The sequence below is a fragment of the Homo sapiens genome, chromosome 14 (assembly GCF_000001405.40).
Source record: "Homo sapiens chromosome 14, GRCh38.p14 Primary Assembly".
NCBI classification, from domain to species: Eukaryota; Metazoa; Chordata; class Mammalia; order Primates; family Hominidae; genus Homo; species Homo sapiens.
In genome coordinates, this window is record NC_000014.9 from 56512497 (window position 1) to 56526331 (window position 13835).

The following is a 13835-nucleotide window of genomic DNA, read 5'->3' on the forward strand; positions in this document are numbered from 1 at the left end:
ATTAAGCCTGAATGGCATTTGGTGGCAGATAAAGTCGCTCTGTGTCACACAGTGGAAGGCTGTGTGGCCAGATCTTGTTTAGAATTACATTTAAAACCTGGAAATCAAATGATATGTCCAGATAACTTCTGTGGTAAGCCCCAAACCAGTTATGCTTCAGGTTAAGCCTCTGCATTTTTAAACAACATGCCTTTTATTCTCTCTAGGCCAATACTCGGACCTTCCTGCCAGCAATATCAAATAGCAAGAGGCTGAATGTACCCTCTGTGTGTGCATTAAAGGATAAACAGCCGAAGGAGGCAGTGCCTCTCTGCTGAGAAAATCTCCATCTTTGATATCTCTCCTCTACAAACACATCAATCAAAATAGCTCATTTCCTCTTGATTTCTGGAGTTATTTTCTAATTCTTAAAATTTTACAAACAAACAAAAACTAAACAAACCTAAAACATCCCATCACCCTGAGCAAACAGAGCTCTTAGTTTTCTGAATTTCTTTTTCTTATGTCTCACTCTTGAACAGACCTTTTTTTTTTGTATTTTTAGTAGAGACAGGGTTTCACCGCATTAGCCAGGATGGTCTCGATCTCCTGACCTCGTGATCCATCCGCTTCGGCCTCCCAAAGTGCTGGGATTACGGGCGTGAGCCACATCACCCGGCCGGATGTCCTCTTATAACATCTTGCTTCTCAGGGTCTCAGAGAGTTTGAGTGCACTAGGAAAATGGACAGACCTTCCTGGTGGCTTTCCGGGGCAAGAGAATAATCCCATCTTGGCAGCAAAGACAGAAAAGTAACACGATTTGTTTATGTTATTGAATGTTCGTGTTATTGCCAAGGAAACCAGGGCGTATGAGACAATGCAATGTCTTGAGCAAACTTGGAGACATAAGGCTGAGGGGGCTTGTGATGATGTATATCCCCTGTGTATAAGTCCTATTTCCTTGGGAAAAAGTCTGGCCCTCCCTTCTGCCTCCCATTAAGGCACCTCCTGTTAGGCACATGTGCTCATGGTCATACCAGGCACCAGGAGAAGCCTTTAAGCATCTACCGTGGTTTCCTGTGGGCAGTGGGATCAGCTTCCATTTAAGGTCATGGCTCATGAAGGAGTAGCTAAGATTTCCTTCTGCACATGCTTCCCTAAAGCAATACTTGATTCAGAGAAGAAAAGGTATAAGCTGGGACACTGAGCACATTTCAGTCCACTGGGGACAGGGACACACCATTTGTAGAACTCCACTATGCATCATTTTATTACTTTAGAAGTAAAAGAAGAATTTTTTTCTTCATGCAAAAAAATGTTGCAGTAGATTCTCTTGCTAAAAGAGTCATTTAAATATTACTGGTCACGTCACATTGTAGTTGTTTGGAAATAATTATATCCATATCACAGACAGTAAATAATAGATGTGCGTTCACTAACATTTTATTCATGTTCTGTTTTAATATGGCAAACTTAGAAGTAATTTAATCTCCCAGTAAATTGAAGTGGTGGGGGGTTCTTCACACAGAAGACTGCAAGTTATTAATTCCGGGCAGTCTTCATCTTGTACAATTAGTCACTGTTTGCAGCTGGAAATGTTTTATTAATTTTCCATAGCAGTTGATTTTCCACAGTTTTCTCAGTTTAAATTAAGCAGTAAGAGCTGCTGTTTCTTCTTAAATAAATTTTCTTTCCACAAAAATACATGCCTCTGGCTATGTCAATTTTCCCATTTGATTAAAGTGCCAGCAGGCAATTAATAACTTAATGCATTTTAAAGTACTTTTGGAAAAAGTAATTTGAATAGCCAAACTTGTGTATTTGAATGGATTGTTACAGAAGATTTAATAGGCATTGGAAAATCCTGGAACCTTGGGAAGGACGAAATGAGGCCCGCAAACTGTGTCTGGGGACCTGTGGGGTGGTCTTCATGAAACGCCCGCCATGGAAGGCTTTCAGCTCCAAGAAAGGCACCGGCACTCACACTTGGGGGGCTGATGATTGCCACTGTCCAGGAGGCTAAAGGAAGAAAGGCAACCACGTGAGTATATGGCAGACTCAGGGCTATGATGGTATGGTCTGAGGAGGAAAGTGTCTAGGGAAAGCCATCTAAAAGCCAGTGAGACAACATGAATAAACCTTGAAGACACGATGCTCAGTGAAATAAGTCAGACACAAAAGGATAGATATATGTTGCACCTGTATGAGGTTCCCGGGATCACCAAATTCATAGAGATAAAAAGTAGAATGTTGGTTGCCAGGGGCTGGTGGGAGGAGGGGATGGGGAGTTAGCATTTAAGAGGGATAGAATATCAGTTTGGGATGATGAGAAAGTTCTAGAGATGGATAGTGGTGATGGTTACACAGCAATGTGACTGTACTTAATGCCACTGGGTCACACCCTCAAAAAGGGTTAAAATTGTAACTTTTATGATAAACATTTTACCACAATTTTACAAAAAGCAAAAAAAAAGCAATGACGCTTATTCTTACATTCATGATGTCATCACATTCATGACTCATAGTATTATCTGTGGTGAGAATTAGCAGCTTCTGCCTGGCAGTGGCATCTCCAGCTGACCTCCATTTAACTGACTCAGAGGATCCATCCACCCACACTCCCTTCCAGCTGTAGAACATTTTCGATTGAGGGTCCGGCAAGCTGAAAGCTCAGCATCAGTGCCTGTGCTCATGCGTTCTGCTCCCCCTCGTTTGCTGTATGCCTCCTGAGATTCAGCTAGGTTTGGCTGTGTCCCCACCTAAATCTCATCTTGAACTGTAGTTCCCGTAATGTCCATGTGCCGTGGGAGGGCCCCAGCGGGAGGTAATTGAATCATGAGGGCCGTTACCCTCATGCTGTTCTCGTGATCGTCAGCGAGTTCTCACGAGATATGATGGTTTTATAAGGGGCTTTTCCCCTCTCCCCCATCCCCTGCTTCACTCTGCACTTCTCTTTGCTGCCACTGTGTGAAGAAGGACATGTTTGCTTCCCCTTACACCATGATTGTACGTTTCCTGAGACCTCCTGAGCCATGCTGAGCTGTGAGTCAATTCAACTCTTTCCTTTATAAATTACCTAGTCTTGGGTATATCTTTATTAGCAGTGTGAGAATGGACTAATACAGTTCCCAAACCTGTTCACACCTGGTTGTTTTAATTATGCAATTTTATTAAATATTACATAAGCTGATGAAATGTGAGCTCACAAAGACAAAGAGTTGTTTTTATGAAAACCAAGTTGAATACCTTTGTAAAACCTGATAAAGGTGAGCCCTAAAAAAATATTGCAGATGTACTAGGTATGGACAAAGTAAAGTTAAAGCTTGTGGGAAAATCATAAAAAACTTCAAAAGGATTCTGAACTTAGGTTGCTTTACAGGTGTCTTTAGGTTTTTACTTCACTTGAAAGAGACTGAAAGTGGAAATCATGCATGAGGTAATATGGCCCTGTTTTAAGCCAGTGCGATGACTGGAGCTTCAGCAGAGTCATATGCCACAGTAAGGCCTTGAGTCACTGCCCAATTGCATTGGATAAAATAACTTTCACCAAACTTTCAAGCATGGGAGCAGAGCTAACCAATATTAATTTACATGTCAAAGCCAATCGCTTGGTAGTAAGTAATTAGCATGCTGTGTTGAGAAGTATCCTGAAATTACATCTGGACTCAGTAAGCAGGAGTCCAGATGAACAATGTTTTCCAGGGGCGTTCAAGGGAAGCAGAGTGAATAAAGTGCCATATATTCACCATGACTGATCTAGAAAAATAGATAAGCACAAATTTAAAACCAAACATTAGCTGCTATTTTTTTTAACTTCCTGCTGGATCTAAGCCCAAGTCTACTTTTATTCTCACAAAATGGCATAAGTCATCCAAAGCACCCTTGTTATTTCCAACACTAGAACTACTTACTCATGATCAGAATGAAATGCCCTTTGCCTTATAGAGGAGTAAACCAGGTTTCACCGATCCTGTTGACCGACCCCAAGACTCTGCTGGAAAATTATATCCTATACACAAATCATCTTTCTAAAGAAATGTCAACGATGTTGACAATTGTGTTGGATTTCTTTTGAAGAGTCCACTGTTGGGGACTAGCCAGTTAATTAGCTAACTGCTTTTAGTTAACTGCTTGGAGAAAGGTGTAAAGTGCTTTTAAAAAATGTTTTGAACAATAACATTTTGTGTCTGGGAAGCGGTGTTAGATTATTTTTCTTGCACTGAACTGGTATGTTTCTGACAGCCCTTATGTAGATATTGGATCATGTTCCTCGTCTCAGGAGAGAAAGGAATGGTGATTTATGTTGTGGGTATCAGTTTTTCACATGTCTTACAGTGTGATATGCACCAGCTGAGGGCTTCAATCCACTTAGTGAAATAGGAAATGGCTGCTGCCTTGAATTGGTTTTTTAAGTCATGAAATAAGAGAATTAGTACCAGCACAAGCGATTGCTGAGAACCTGAAGGTGAGTTAATGTGCCATGTTTATTATCAAGCATCAGAAAGTCAGTCTGGGTTTGTGTTTTAGAGAACTTCTGAGAGGAGAAAGAAGAATTCGAAACTGTCAAATCATTTTCCTCCTCAGGAAACTTCTTTTACTTAGGCTTTTTCTCATTTTTTATGCCTTATTTCTTTGGCCATCCAATTTAAGTGTGTTTTGTTGTTGTTTTATAGGTTTTTGTACAAAAGGGGGGCTATTAACTATATCTCAGTATATCAATAAGTTTCTAAGTTCTAGGTCTCTGAGAAAATCTGTCGCAGCTTTTCTCGCCTAAAAAAATTTTAGTAACTTAATAGATAACAGAACTGTAATGAACTACAAAAAGGAGCTCTATCTGTTAAGATTAGCTTTGGCTGCATGCAATAGCATGGACTAAACAAACAAAGGCTTAAACGAGATGAAAGTATTTTTCTTTCACACATAATAGTAGTCAAGACCATAACATCATGTTGTAAATCTCAAATACGCACTATAACATTTATTTAAAAAAAAATAAGTCAAGGGAAGGCAATCCAGGGCTGATACAGCGCTCCATGGTCATCAGGGACTAGATATGCTAGCTTGCTGCCCTGCCATCATTTGTGTTGTGTTCCACAGTGGCTGCTCAATTCCCAGGCATCATGTCCAAGAAAAGAAGAGTGCACCCTCTCCCTTTGAGGGCACTTCCCAAAAGTTGCACACAACATGTCTTTTTATATATCATTGGCCAGACTGTAATCATTTGGCTATGCCTAACTTCAGGGGAGATTGAAGAGCAAATTCTTTTGACTAGACGACATGTCTAGCTAAAAATTAAGATTTTTTTTAATTAAAAAAAAAAAAGAATATTGGAGGTAAATAGCATTCTTGTCCCAGGGAAGCATTCCTAATCTATGAGAACAATTTTAGAGAAGGCAACTTTTATACTTATACCTTCCAAGTTCCCTTGAAGATATTATGAGACTACATACATATCGGGGTGGATGGATCCTTGGAGAGATTCAGCCTGTAATTTCTGCACTAGAATTTTGTTTGTAAAGTACTTATGCTCCTGTCGCCACCACCATCTTCCCACCAGCCATGAAATGTTTTGTCTGCTTCAAGGAGGCAAGTTTAGAAAGCTTTGGCAAGTTTTATCTTACTGTGCTTCGCAGGGGAGTCCCAAACCATCTGTGTCCTACCACTCTATTCCCAGAAGTTTTCTAGACAAGAAATCAATGGTCTCTTATTTTTCAACCCGAAAAATGAAAAGAAAGTAATATAAATTGCCATCTATTTGTTGAAAAAGTATAGAAGTCAAGTGATTAAATGTAGAATCTAGGCAGGTTGCCATTTCTTTCTGCCACCTTTGAGTGCTGGTGTTTGTTTTTTCTATGTTGGGTATTCCTCCTTCCTTTCTTCCTCCCTCTTTCTCGTTTCTTCCTTCCTTCCTTAACTCATCACAAAAGAAATTCATCAGCGTTAGTGCACGATTCCTGACAAATGCAAAGGCTCCCATCTCTGATTTTTGGTTGTTGATGCAAGAGAATGCCCACGGTTTGGGCAGTGGGTGGGAGCAGCTGTCTGCTGCAGACTCTGGCATTAGGCCACCCATCCAGGTATTTTCCATTGCCCCTGTCCCTATTCCACTGCCAGACATGGCTAATTTAGGAAGAACATCTCTTTTCTGACTTTCCTAAGGCTTTTTCCTCCGGTGTTGTGCCTCTGCCAGTTTCCCCTGAGCTCTCTTGCATTGATTCCCAAAGACACCATCAATATCTAAGCTTCTCCCTTTGTTCTGCGGCTTGCAAATGTTAAGCACGGGGCAACTTTTCTGAAAAGTTAAGTGGAAAAGGTGAGGTAGTCTGTTGGATATATAATGCCCTTTACTCTTGGTTAAGGGAAAGAGCGTTCTAAGCAATAATTTTAAATCCTCTTCAATGAGTACCTTGAAGCAATGAAAGGAGTAGGAAAAAGTAAGCTTGGTGGACAGCATTAAGCAATTACCACTGAAAATTATTTAAGCTTAAATAACTAAAATAATTTATTTTATAAAATCACACCAAGTAATGGAAAGGATTCTGCATGGTCAATTTGCTTTCTCATGCAGCAATTGAAGAGGTAAGCAAAAATGTTGAATTCTAAAAGTCCCAACTTAGTGAATTAATATAGATTTGGGGGTAGCATTAAATACCTGAAGACGATGATGAGTCATGGCTGCACTGGATTGGCAAATGGGATTAAATGATTTTGAGTGATACAAAAACCTAATACAATGAAATCAGTGAGTCTTGCATGATGATGACCTTCTCCCCCACTTCTTCTGCCGTAAAATGAATGCTTTCCAGTATTATAGAGAACCACTAGAGCACAATGATTAAGAACATGGGCTCTGGAGCCAGACTGCCTGAGTTTGAATCACAGTGCTGCCACTTACATTCTTGGGTAAGTTAACTGAGCGCTCTGTACCTCAGTTCCCTCATCATTAAATGGAGACAATGTGTCAGTTGCTAGTGTAAGTGCTTAGCATAGGGCCTTGTATGCAGGAAGCACTATCTGAGATATTTCTATCTGTTACACATGAATTCTTTGCTCTGCCTTTGCCCCAGATGTCTTTGGGACTGTGAGCTCTGGACAAAGGGCATTCATCAGCTTGCTGGATGCAGAGTTCCTCATAGCAGGAAGCTCATATTCCATTGTTCCCCACCATTCTTGGAGTGTGGGGAAAATCATGCATGGTATGCTAGAGAAGGGAAAGTGTCTTCTCATCGCACTCTGACTGTTCAGGATGTTCCTATTATGTGAAGAAGTTCACTGGCTGCCTCTTCTTGCCTTTAGGAATCCATTCGATAAAGACTGATTGAGCATCTGCCATATGCCTGCCCCCAGTGAAGCACTGGTGATACTGAGATTGGCAGGCACTGCCTGATCTAGGGGCTGCAGTGAGACATACAGCATGAGACAAGCAAATAGAGGCAAGCGCACACTGTCATGAGAGCCCAAGGGATACACCAACTGGGCTTTAGAAGGATCAAGACTTTGCCCAGAGGGTGACATATTTAATTAAATGTTATACAGTTGATGGAATTTTCCAGATAGACAAGAAGGGATATGGCAGAAGAAACCAAGCACCAAACTTCCCAGATGTGACTAGTTGGGGAACAAGTCATGTGCTATGGATCTTACTCTAGTATTAGGGTACCCCTCTGTCAAGGCTGTGACTGGTCTATTTGGCACATTTCTAGTGAAGATGAGAGAGTACAAGAGTGGTGAGTGGAGCACGGGCTAGACCAGTTCCTATTGAATCCCAGGCTGGAGCACCACACGCTTTGATCCTGCACTGTGGCTCCTGCCGCTCTGTTACAACGTGTTGTTGTCTTTCTCCTTGAGGTCAAGGACTCCATCTGACTCTTCTCTATATATAACCCCTGGAACAGCATCTCAGATTGGAGTTCTCAGACCACCTGCATCAGAATTGTATGGGGGCCATGTTTAAAAACACAGATTCCCACCCATAGCCAGCTCTACTGAATCAAATGTATGAGAGTGAGTGCTGGAAGTCTTCATTTTTAATAAGGAACTGGGGTAGAAATACACTTTTGTAAACATATTTTGCAGCTAATTCTAATGCACATTTTAGTAAGGAAATCACCACTATAGGACCCAGTAGACAGCCTAGTATATTATAGATATTCAATAAAAGTTTAATAAATGAAAGACCAAGTTAATACGTTGGAGGAGAATGTGATGCAGACAGGGCAGGGCAGGGCAGAGCAGAGGAATGGAAAGGCCTTCAAATAGGACAATGGGCAGCTTCTTCCATCAAAGGAAGGGTTGAGCTCCTCGTGGGGAAGCTGGGATGATATGGGCCATGCTGAGGTCTCTGCTCTCCAATGAGGGTTCTAGATGGAAACTGTGACTCAGAGCCCTCTTCTGCCCCTTGTCCCAGTCTCCTGTTTCTGTCCTTGCCCTCCACAAGGCAGCTTTTCCGTAGTTGCTTCTACAGGGCAGAGTCAGCCACACATTCATCTTCAGAGAGCAGACATCACTACAACTTCAAGGCTCTAAGTGGCTACCTCCACCCTGGCTTCTAACGCTCCTTTGTATGCTCTTAAAAGAGTGTGTGTGTGTGTGTTTGTGTGTGTGTGTGTACACACATACACATACATATATATATATATCTCCAACTTAGGTGGAGCTGGAGGCCATTATTCTAAGTGAAGTAACTCAGGAATGGAAAACCAAATACATTATGTTTCATACATACATATGTGTTACGTTATTTATATATGTTATACATATATTATTTCAACAGCTTTTGGGGAACAAGTGGTTTTTGGTTACATGGTTCAATTATATAGTGGTGACTTCTAAAATTCTAATGCACCCAAGTAGTGTATGTTATACCCAATATGTAGTTTTTTGTCCCACATCTCCTCTGACCCTCCCCCTTCTAACTCTCCAAAGTCCATTTTATCACTCTGTATGCCTTTCATACCTATAGCTTAGCTCCTACCTGTAAGTGAGAACATACGGTATCTGGTTTTCCATTCATGAGTTACTTCACTTAGAATAATGACCTCCAGCTCCATCTAAGTTGCTGCAAAAGACATTACTTTGTTCCTTTTTATGACTGAGTAGTATTCCATGGTGTATATATACCGTATATTCTTAATCCACTCATTGGTTGATGGGCATTTAGGTTGGTTCCATGTCTTTGCAATTATGAATTGTGCTCAATAAACAGACATGTGCATGTGTCTTCATGTAATGACTTCTTTTGGGTAGATATCTAATAGTGGGATTGCTTGATTGAATGGTAGATCTACTTTTAGTTCTTTAAGGAATCTCTATACTGTTTTCCATAGAGGTTGTACTAATTTATATTCCCACCAGCAATGTATACCCATTCCCTTTTTACCACATCCACACCAACATCTATTGTTTTTTGACTTTTACATAATGGTCATTCTTGTAGAAGTAAGGTGGTATCTTATTGCGTTTTGAATTTGCATTTCCCTGATCATTAGTGATGTTGTGCATTTTTACATGTTTGTAGGCCATTTGTTATCTTCTTTTGAGAAATGTCTATTCCTGCCATTTGCCCACTTTTTGATGGAATTATTTGGTTTCGTTTTCTCTTTCCTTTCTTTCCTTTCCTTTCCTTTCTTTTCTTTCTTTCTTTTCTTTCTTTCCTTTTTTTTTTTTTTGGTTCTCCTGCCTCAGCCTGCCGAGTAGCTGGGATTACAGGCACACACCACCATGTCTGGCTAATTGTTGTATTTTTAGAAGAGGCGGGGTTTCACCATGTTGCCCACTGCTGTTCTCGAACTCCTGACCTCAGGTGATTTACCTGTCTCAGCCTCCCAAAGTGCTTGGATTACAGGTGTGAGCCACTGTATCTGGCCTATTTGTCCTTTTTTCTTGCTGATTTGAGTTCCTTGTAGATTCTGGATACTAGTCCTTTGTCAAATGCATAGTTTGCAAACATTTTTTCCCATTCTGTGGGTTGTCTGTTTACTCTGATGATTATTTCTTTTGCTGTGCAGAAGATTTTTAGTTTAATCAGGTGCCATTTATTTATTTTTGTTTTTATTGCATTTGCTTTTGGGGCTTTAGTCATGAATTATTTGCCTAGGCCAATGTCCAGAAGGGTTTTTCCAAGGTTATTTTCTAGAATTTTCATGGTTTCAGGTCTTAGATTTAAGTCTTTGACTCATCTTGAGTTTTTTGTTTTTTTTTAATAAGGAAAGAGATAGGGATCCAGTTTCATCCTCCTACATGTGGCTGGCCAGTTTTCCCAGCACCATCTATTAAATAATCTACCCCTCTTTTTACAAAGGAAAAAATATGTTTCTTCAGACCTCTGCAGAAAAACAGATGAATTAGCCATAATTTTCAACGAGTGGTAACAGATAAATATATTGCAAATTCCAGGTAACAGCCTTGTAATTTAACAGAGTCCTTCCAAAGCCATGGTTCTCAAACTTAGCTGCATGTTGGAATCACCTGGGGAAGCTTTCAAAATGATGCCTGCTTGGTCTCACCTCCCCAGAGATTCTGATATTTTATTAGCCTGGGGCACAGCCTGGGCATCGAGGACTTTTTTAACTCCTCAAGGGATTCTGATGTGTCCTCAGGATTGAGAATGACTTCTAGGACACCGTCATCTGAGAAATTCTGATGGTAGAGTCTTCAAGCATCCCGATAAGTCAGTCCAGGGAAGGGTAGGTCCGGGCAGAAGAGCACCAAACCACATCATCCTATCCTGAGCTGCACTAAAGGGTGGCTCAGCAAAGCAGCTGCTCAAGACCCTGCCAAAGTGTCTCTAGAACTGTTAGGAGATGGAGAAACTAGACCCCCTTTTCAGGTAAAGATATGCAACAGGTTGGAAGGAATTCTTAATTGAACAGCTGTAAGTATGAAGCTTTTTTTTTTTTTTTTTTGGAGACAGATTCTCGCTTTGTCACCAGGTTGGAGTGCAGTGGCACGATCTCGGCTCACTGCAACCTCCGCCTCCCGGGTTCAAATGATTCTCCTGCCTCAGCCTCCTGAATAGCTGGGACTACAGGTGTGTGCCACCATGCCCAGCTAATTTTTGTAGTTTTAGTAGAGATAGGGTTACACCATGTTGGCCAGGATGGTCTCGATCTCTTGACCTTATGATCTGCCCACCTCAGCCTCCCAAAGTGCTGGGATTACAGGCATTAGCTGCTGCACCTGGCCAAGTATGAAGCTTTAAGTAAGCATCCCCAAAGGGCATGCTATGAAGGGCAATGAACTACTGCTAAATTGTCTTCTAAGAAGCACAAACACTTAATCACAGGAATTTTGTTTTGCTGGGCCAAAATGAAAAGTTGGGGGCCAAAACTGAATTGTCACCAGGAGTTGGTGTTCTCCAGCCTTTCCTTCTTCAGCCTTCAGCCATTCCTACATAGTTAGCAAAAATGTAAACAGTATCAGTTTGAAAGGGATCCAAGTTACTAAGTCCTCTTTTCTTAGCCTGGACCTGACCATCAGTTCCTCTACCTCTGAGTAAAAAGGTTCAGGTTCTCTGCAAAGACAGGGCTGTCCAGCCCAGGCTGCTGCTTGATTATAAAGGGGGATGCTTGAAAGTATGCTTCCTTCTGAAATAGCAGTCTTATTATAACTATTATAAAACTCCTAGCCAATTTAGATTAGTTCTTTAATTATGCAATTATAAAATATTTTCACCATGTTTCAGCTTTTTAAATCTCTTGACTGCTGATACTTAAACATTTTTTTAAATTTACTTCTTTGTTTAGTCAGTTTTTAACCTTTCTTAGCAGATACATAAGTGAAAAGGTGCATTACCTGAAGAGGGATCCTGAGTGAAAAGAAGCATCTTTGTGGCAGTTAGTTGGATGACAAGACAATAGACACCTAGAAGCCCGTCAGAGTTCTTGTAATTGCCATCTGAAGTCAGCCTGGTACCTGGATGCAACCACACACAACTAGTGTATTTGCAGGGTCATCATCCATTTGCATGGGGCATTGCCAAAAGGGCATCTTATCCTCACATACTGTAAATTACTAAGTAACCCAATTCAACAAGCATTTATTTAAGACCAAGCCTGGGGTAGGTGTCTGGCAGATGTGGCCTTTCCTTTCTAGGTGCTCATAAACTTAATGAGGAGAGAAGGTACATTTCCCCATATGAAGCAGTTATATAGTGAACTGTATCTCGGTATTGATGGATATAGTGAGAACACAGACTTATGTTTTAACTCAGTTCTTTCACCTGCACAATGGGATGATAGTACTTACCCACAGGGTTGTCACTAAGTCAAATAACTATACATCATTGAAATAAAATATTTAAATACCTGAGTGTATAGTAGCAGCTAAGGAATTTTTGCTTTCTTCCCCTGGCTTAATCAATGAGATTGAAGATCATCTGGTCTAGTATCTTCATTTTAGAGATAAGGAAACTGAGACTCAGAGGGGCAAAATGACTTGTCCAAAGTCACACAGCTAGAAAGAGGCACAGTTAATAACCAAAATAAGGAATTGTATTTTTCTTTGGATTTCACAGAAAGTGATTGTCAGGGCTCTTCAAAATTCCACATTGCCCTGTAAAATGAATGTCCCAGAACAATGGCGTGAGGTAGTTTACATGACAAAATACAAGTCTCCCACCTAGGTTTAAAGCCACATTCATCTGTTTTCAGTTGAGAAAGCTGCTAATGGCTCTTACCATGCCTTTCTCAGTTGAAGCATAGAACCAAAACATTTGCAGGCTGAGGATTCCCTCCCACTGTTTGTAGATCAAACACAAACAGAAACAGTGGGAGGCTGGGCCATCTCTGAGAGAATCAATATCAATGAAACAGACAAAATCCCAAAATCTCAAAATAATGAAAACAAAGATATCCAAGTAATAAAATCTGCTAGAATCACAAAGACAACACAACTCCGATCTCAGCTGGCTCAAAGAAAGTGTCCATTAACAAGGGATTAACACAAGGGAAGTACACAACCAGTCAATGGGAAATGAAAACATTTCACACAGCCTAGTCGCTTTTGAGCCCACCCCAGGATTATGGATGAGGGTGTGTTGAGATAGTGTGGTTCTGACTAGAGAGAGTTTCCAGAAACCATCAGCCATGTACTGGCTTAAAAAAGCACCCCAAACTGGTGTTTGTTGGACTGAAAATTTGGAACTGACAAGCCAGAAGATGAGACAAAGCACTGATTACCTGCCCTTTTTAGTCTTGTCTGTTGCAATTTTCAGCAGACCTTTGGAAAAAAAAAAAAAGCCACACTCGCTGTAGTATCTTTTAAAATACGGATTTTAGTTAAAGTTCCCTCATGCCAGAGCTTTTGGGAAGGGTGGAAGGGAAAGAAACAAAATAAAAACAAGACCAAAATTGTATTAGCTTATCGCAAAATAAGTCAAATGGCACTTCCTGTGCCCTATATGAAGACAAGGCAGGTGCTATGGCTTGAATGGTGTTGTCCCTCCAAAATTCATATTCAAACTCAATTCCCAAGGGAATAGTATTAAGAGGTGGGACCTTTGGGGAAGTGATTAATTCATAAGATGTAAGCATGGGTTTTGGGATGAGACCATCCCGAAGTGCCCTTGTGAATGGGAAAATGCCCTTATAAAAGAGGCATCAAAAAGCTGCCTGGCTGTTCCATCTGTTTCAACCCGAGAACATCTGAGAACACAGTAAGAAGGTGCCATCTTGGAAGCAGAGAGCGAGCTCTTAGCTGACACTGACTCTGCTGGCACCTTGATTTTGGACTTTCCAGCCTCCAGAACTGTGAGAAACTGATTTCTATTATTTATAAATTCCTCATTCTAAGGTATTTTGTTATAGCAGCAGGAATGAACTAAAACAGTGGGCATCTTTCAATTTAAAATAACATC

General features: G+C 40.8%; 1 long non-coding RNA gene across 1 annotated transcript in view, besides 5 other annotated features; it reads left to right on the forward strand.

Annotated features, from left to right (window-relative positions):
* Window positions 1-1834: 1834 nt before the first annotated feature.
* The window catches only part of LOC101927690 (uncharacterized), a 36979-nt gene continuing 24978 nt past the window's right edge, over window positions 1835-13835 (forward strand). Inside the window, exon 1 of the long non-coding RNA NR_135241.1 lies at window positions 1835-2021. This is a non-coding gene — a long non-coding RNA (uncharacterized LOC101927690). The remainder of the gene's footprint in view (window positions 2022-13835) is intronic.
* Window positions 2784-2953: an enhancer, noted in NCBI's record as "experimental_34259 CRE fragment used in MPRA reporter constructs". NCBI's record gives its function as "activates a minimal promoter by MPRAs in K562 erythroleukemia cells, with activity observed for both the introgressed and non-introgressed 14:56982083 or rs61987831 variant alleles {active_cell/tissue: K562}" and the evidence as "EXISTENCE:reporter gene assay evidence [ECO:0000049][PMID:34662402]".
* Window position 2869: a transcriptional cis regulatory region, noted in NCBI's record as "Neanderthal adaptively introgressed variant 14:56982083 (GRCh37/hg19 assembly coordinates) or rs61987831 in the experimental_34259 CRE". NCBI's record gives its function as "modulates activity of the experimental_34259 enhancer by MPRAs in K562 erythroleukemia cells {active_cell/tissue: K562}" and the evidence as "EXISTENCE:reporter gene assay evidence [ECO:0000049][PMID:34662402]".
* Window positions 5440-5609: an enhancer, noted in NCBI's record as "experimental_34268 CRE fragment used in MPRA reporter constructs". NCBI's record gives its function as "activates a minimal promoter by MPRAs in K562 erythroleukemia cells, with activity observed for both the introgressed and non-introgressed 14:56984739 variant alleles {active_cell/tissue: K562}" and the evidence as "EXISTENCE:reporter gene assay evidence [ECO:0000049][PMID:34662402]".
* Window positions 9811-9980: an enhancer, noted in NCBI's record as "experimental_34274 CRE fragment used in MPRA reporter constructs". NCBI's record gives its function as "activates a minimal promoter by MPRAs in K562 erythroleukemia cells, with activity observed for the non-introgressed 14:56989110 variant allele {active_cell/tissue: K562}" and the evidence as "EXISTENCE:reporter gene assay evidence [ECO:0000049][PMID:34662402]".
* Window positions 12260-12867: an enhancer, noted in NCBI's record as "OCT4-NANOG-H3K27ac hESC enhancer chr14:56991474-56992081 (GRCh37/hg19 assembly coordinates)". NCBI's record gives its function as "activates a minimal SCP1, AML or CMV promoter by ChIP-STARR-seq in naive H9 embryonic stem cells {active_cell/tissue: H9 hESC(naive)}" and the evidence as "EXISTENCE:reporter gene assay evidence [ECO:0000049][PMID:30033119]".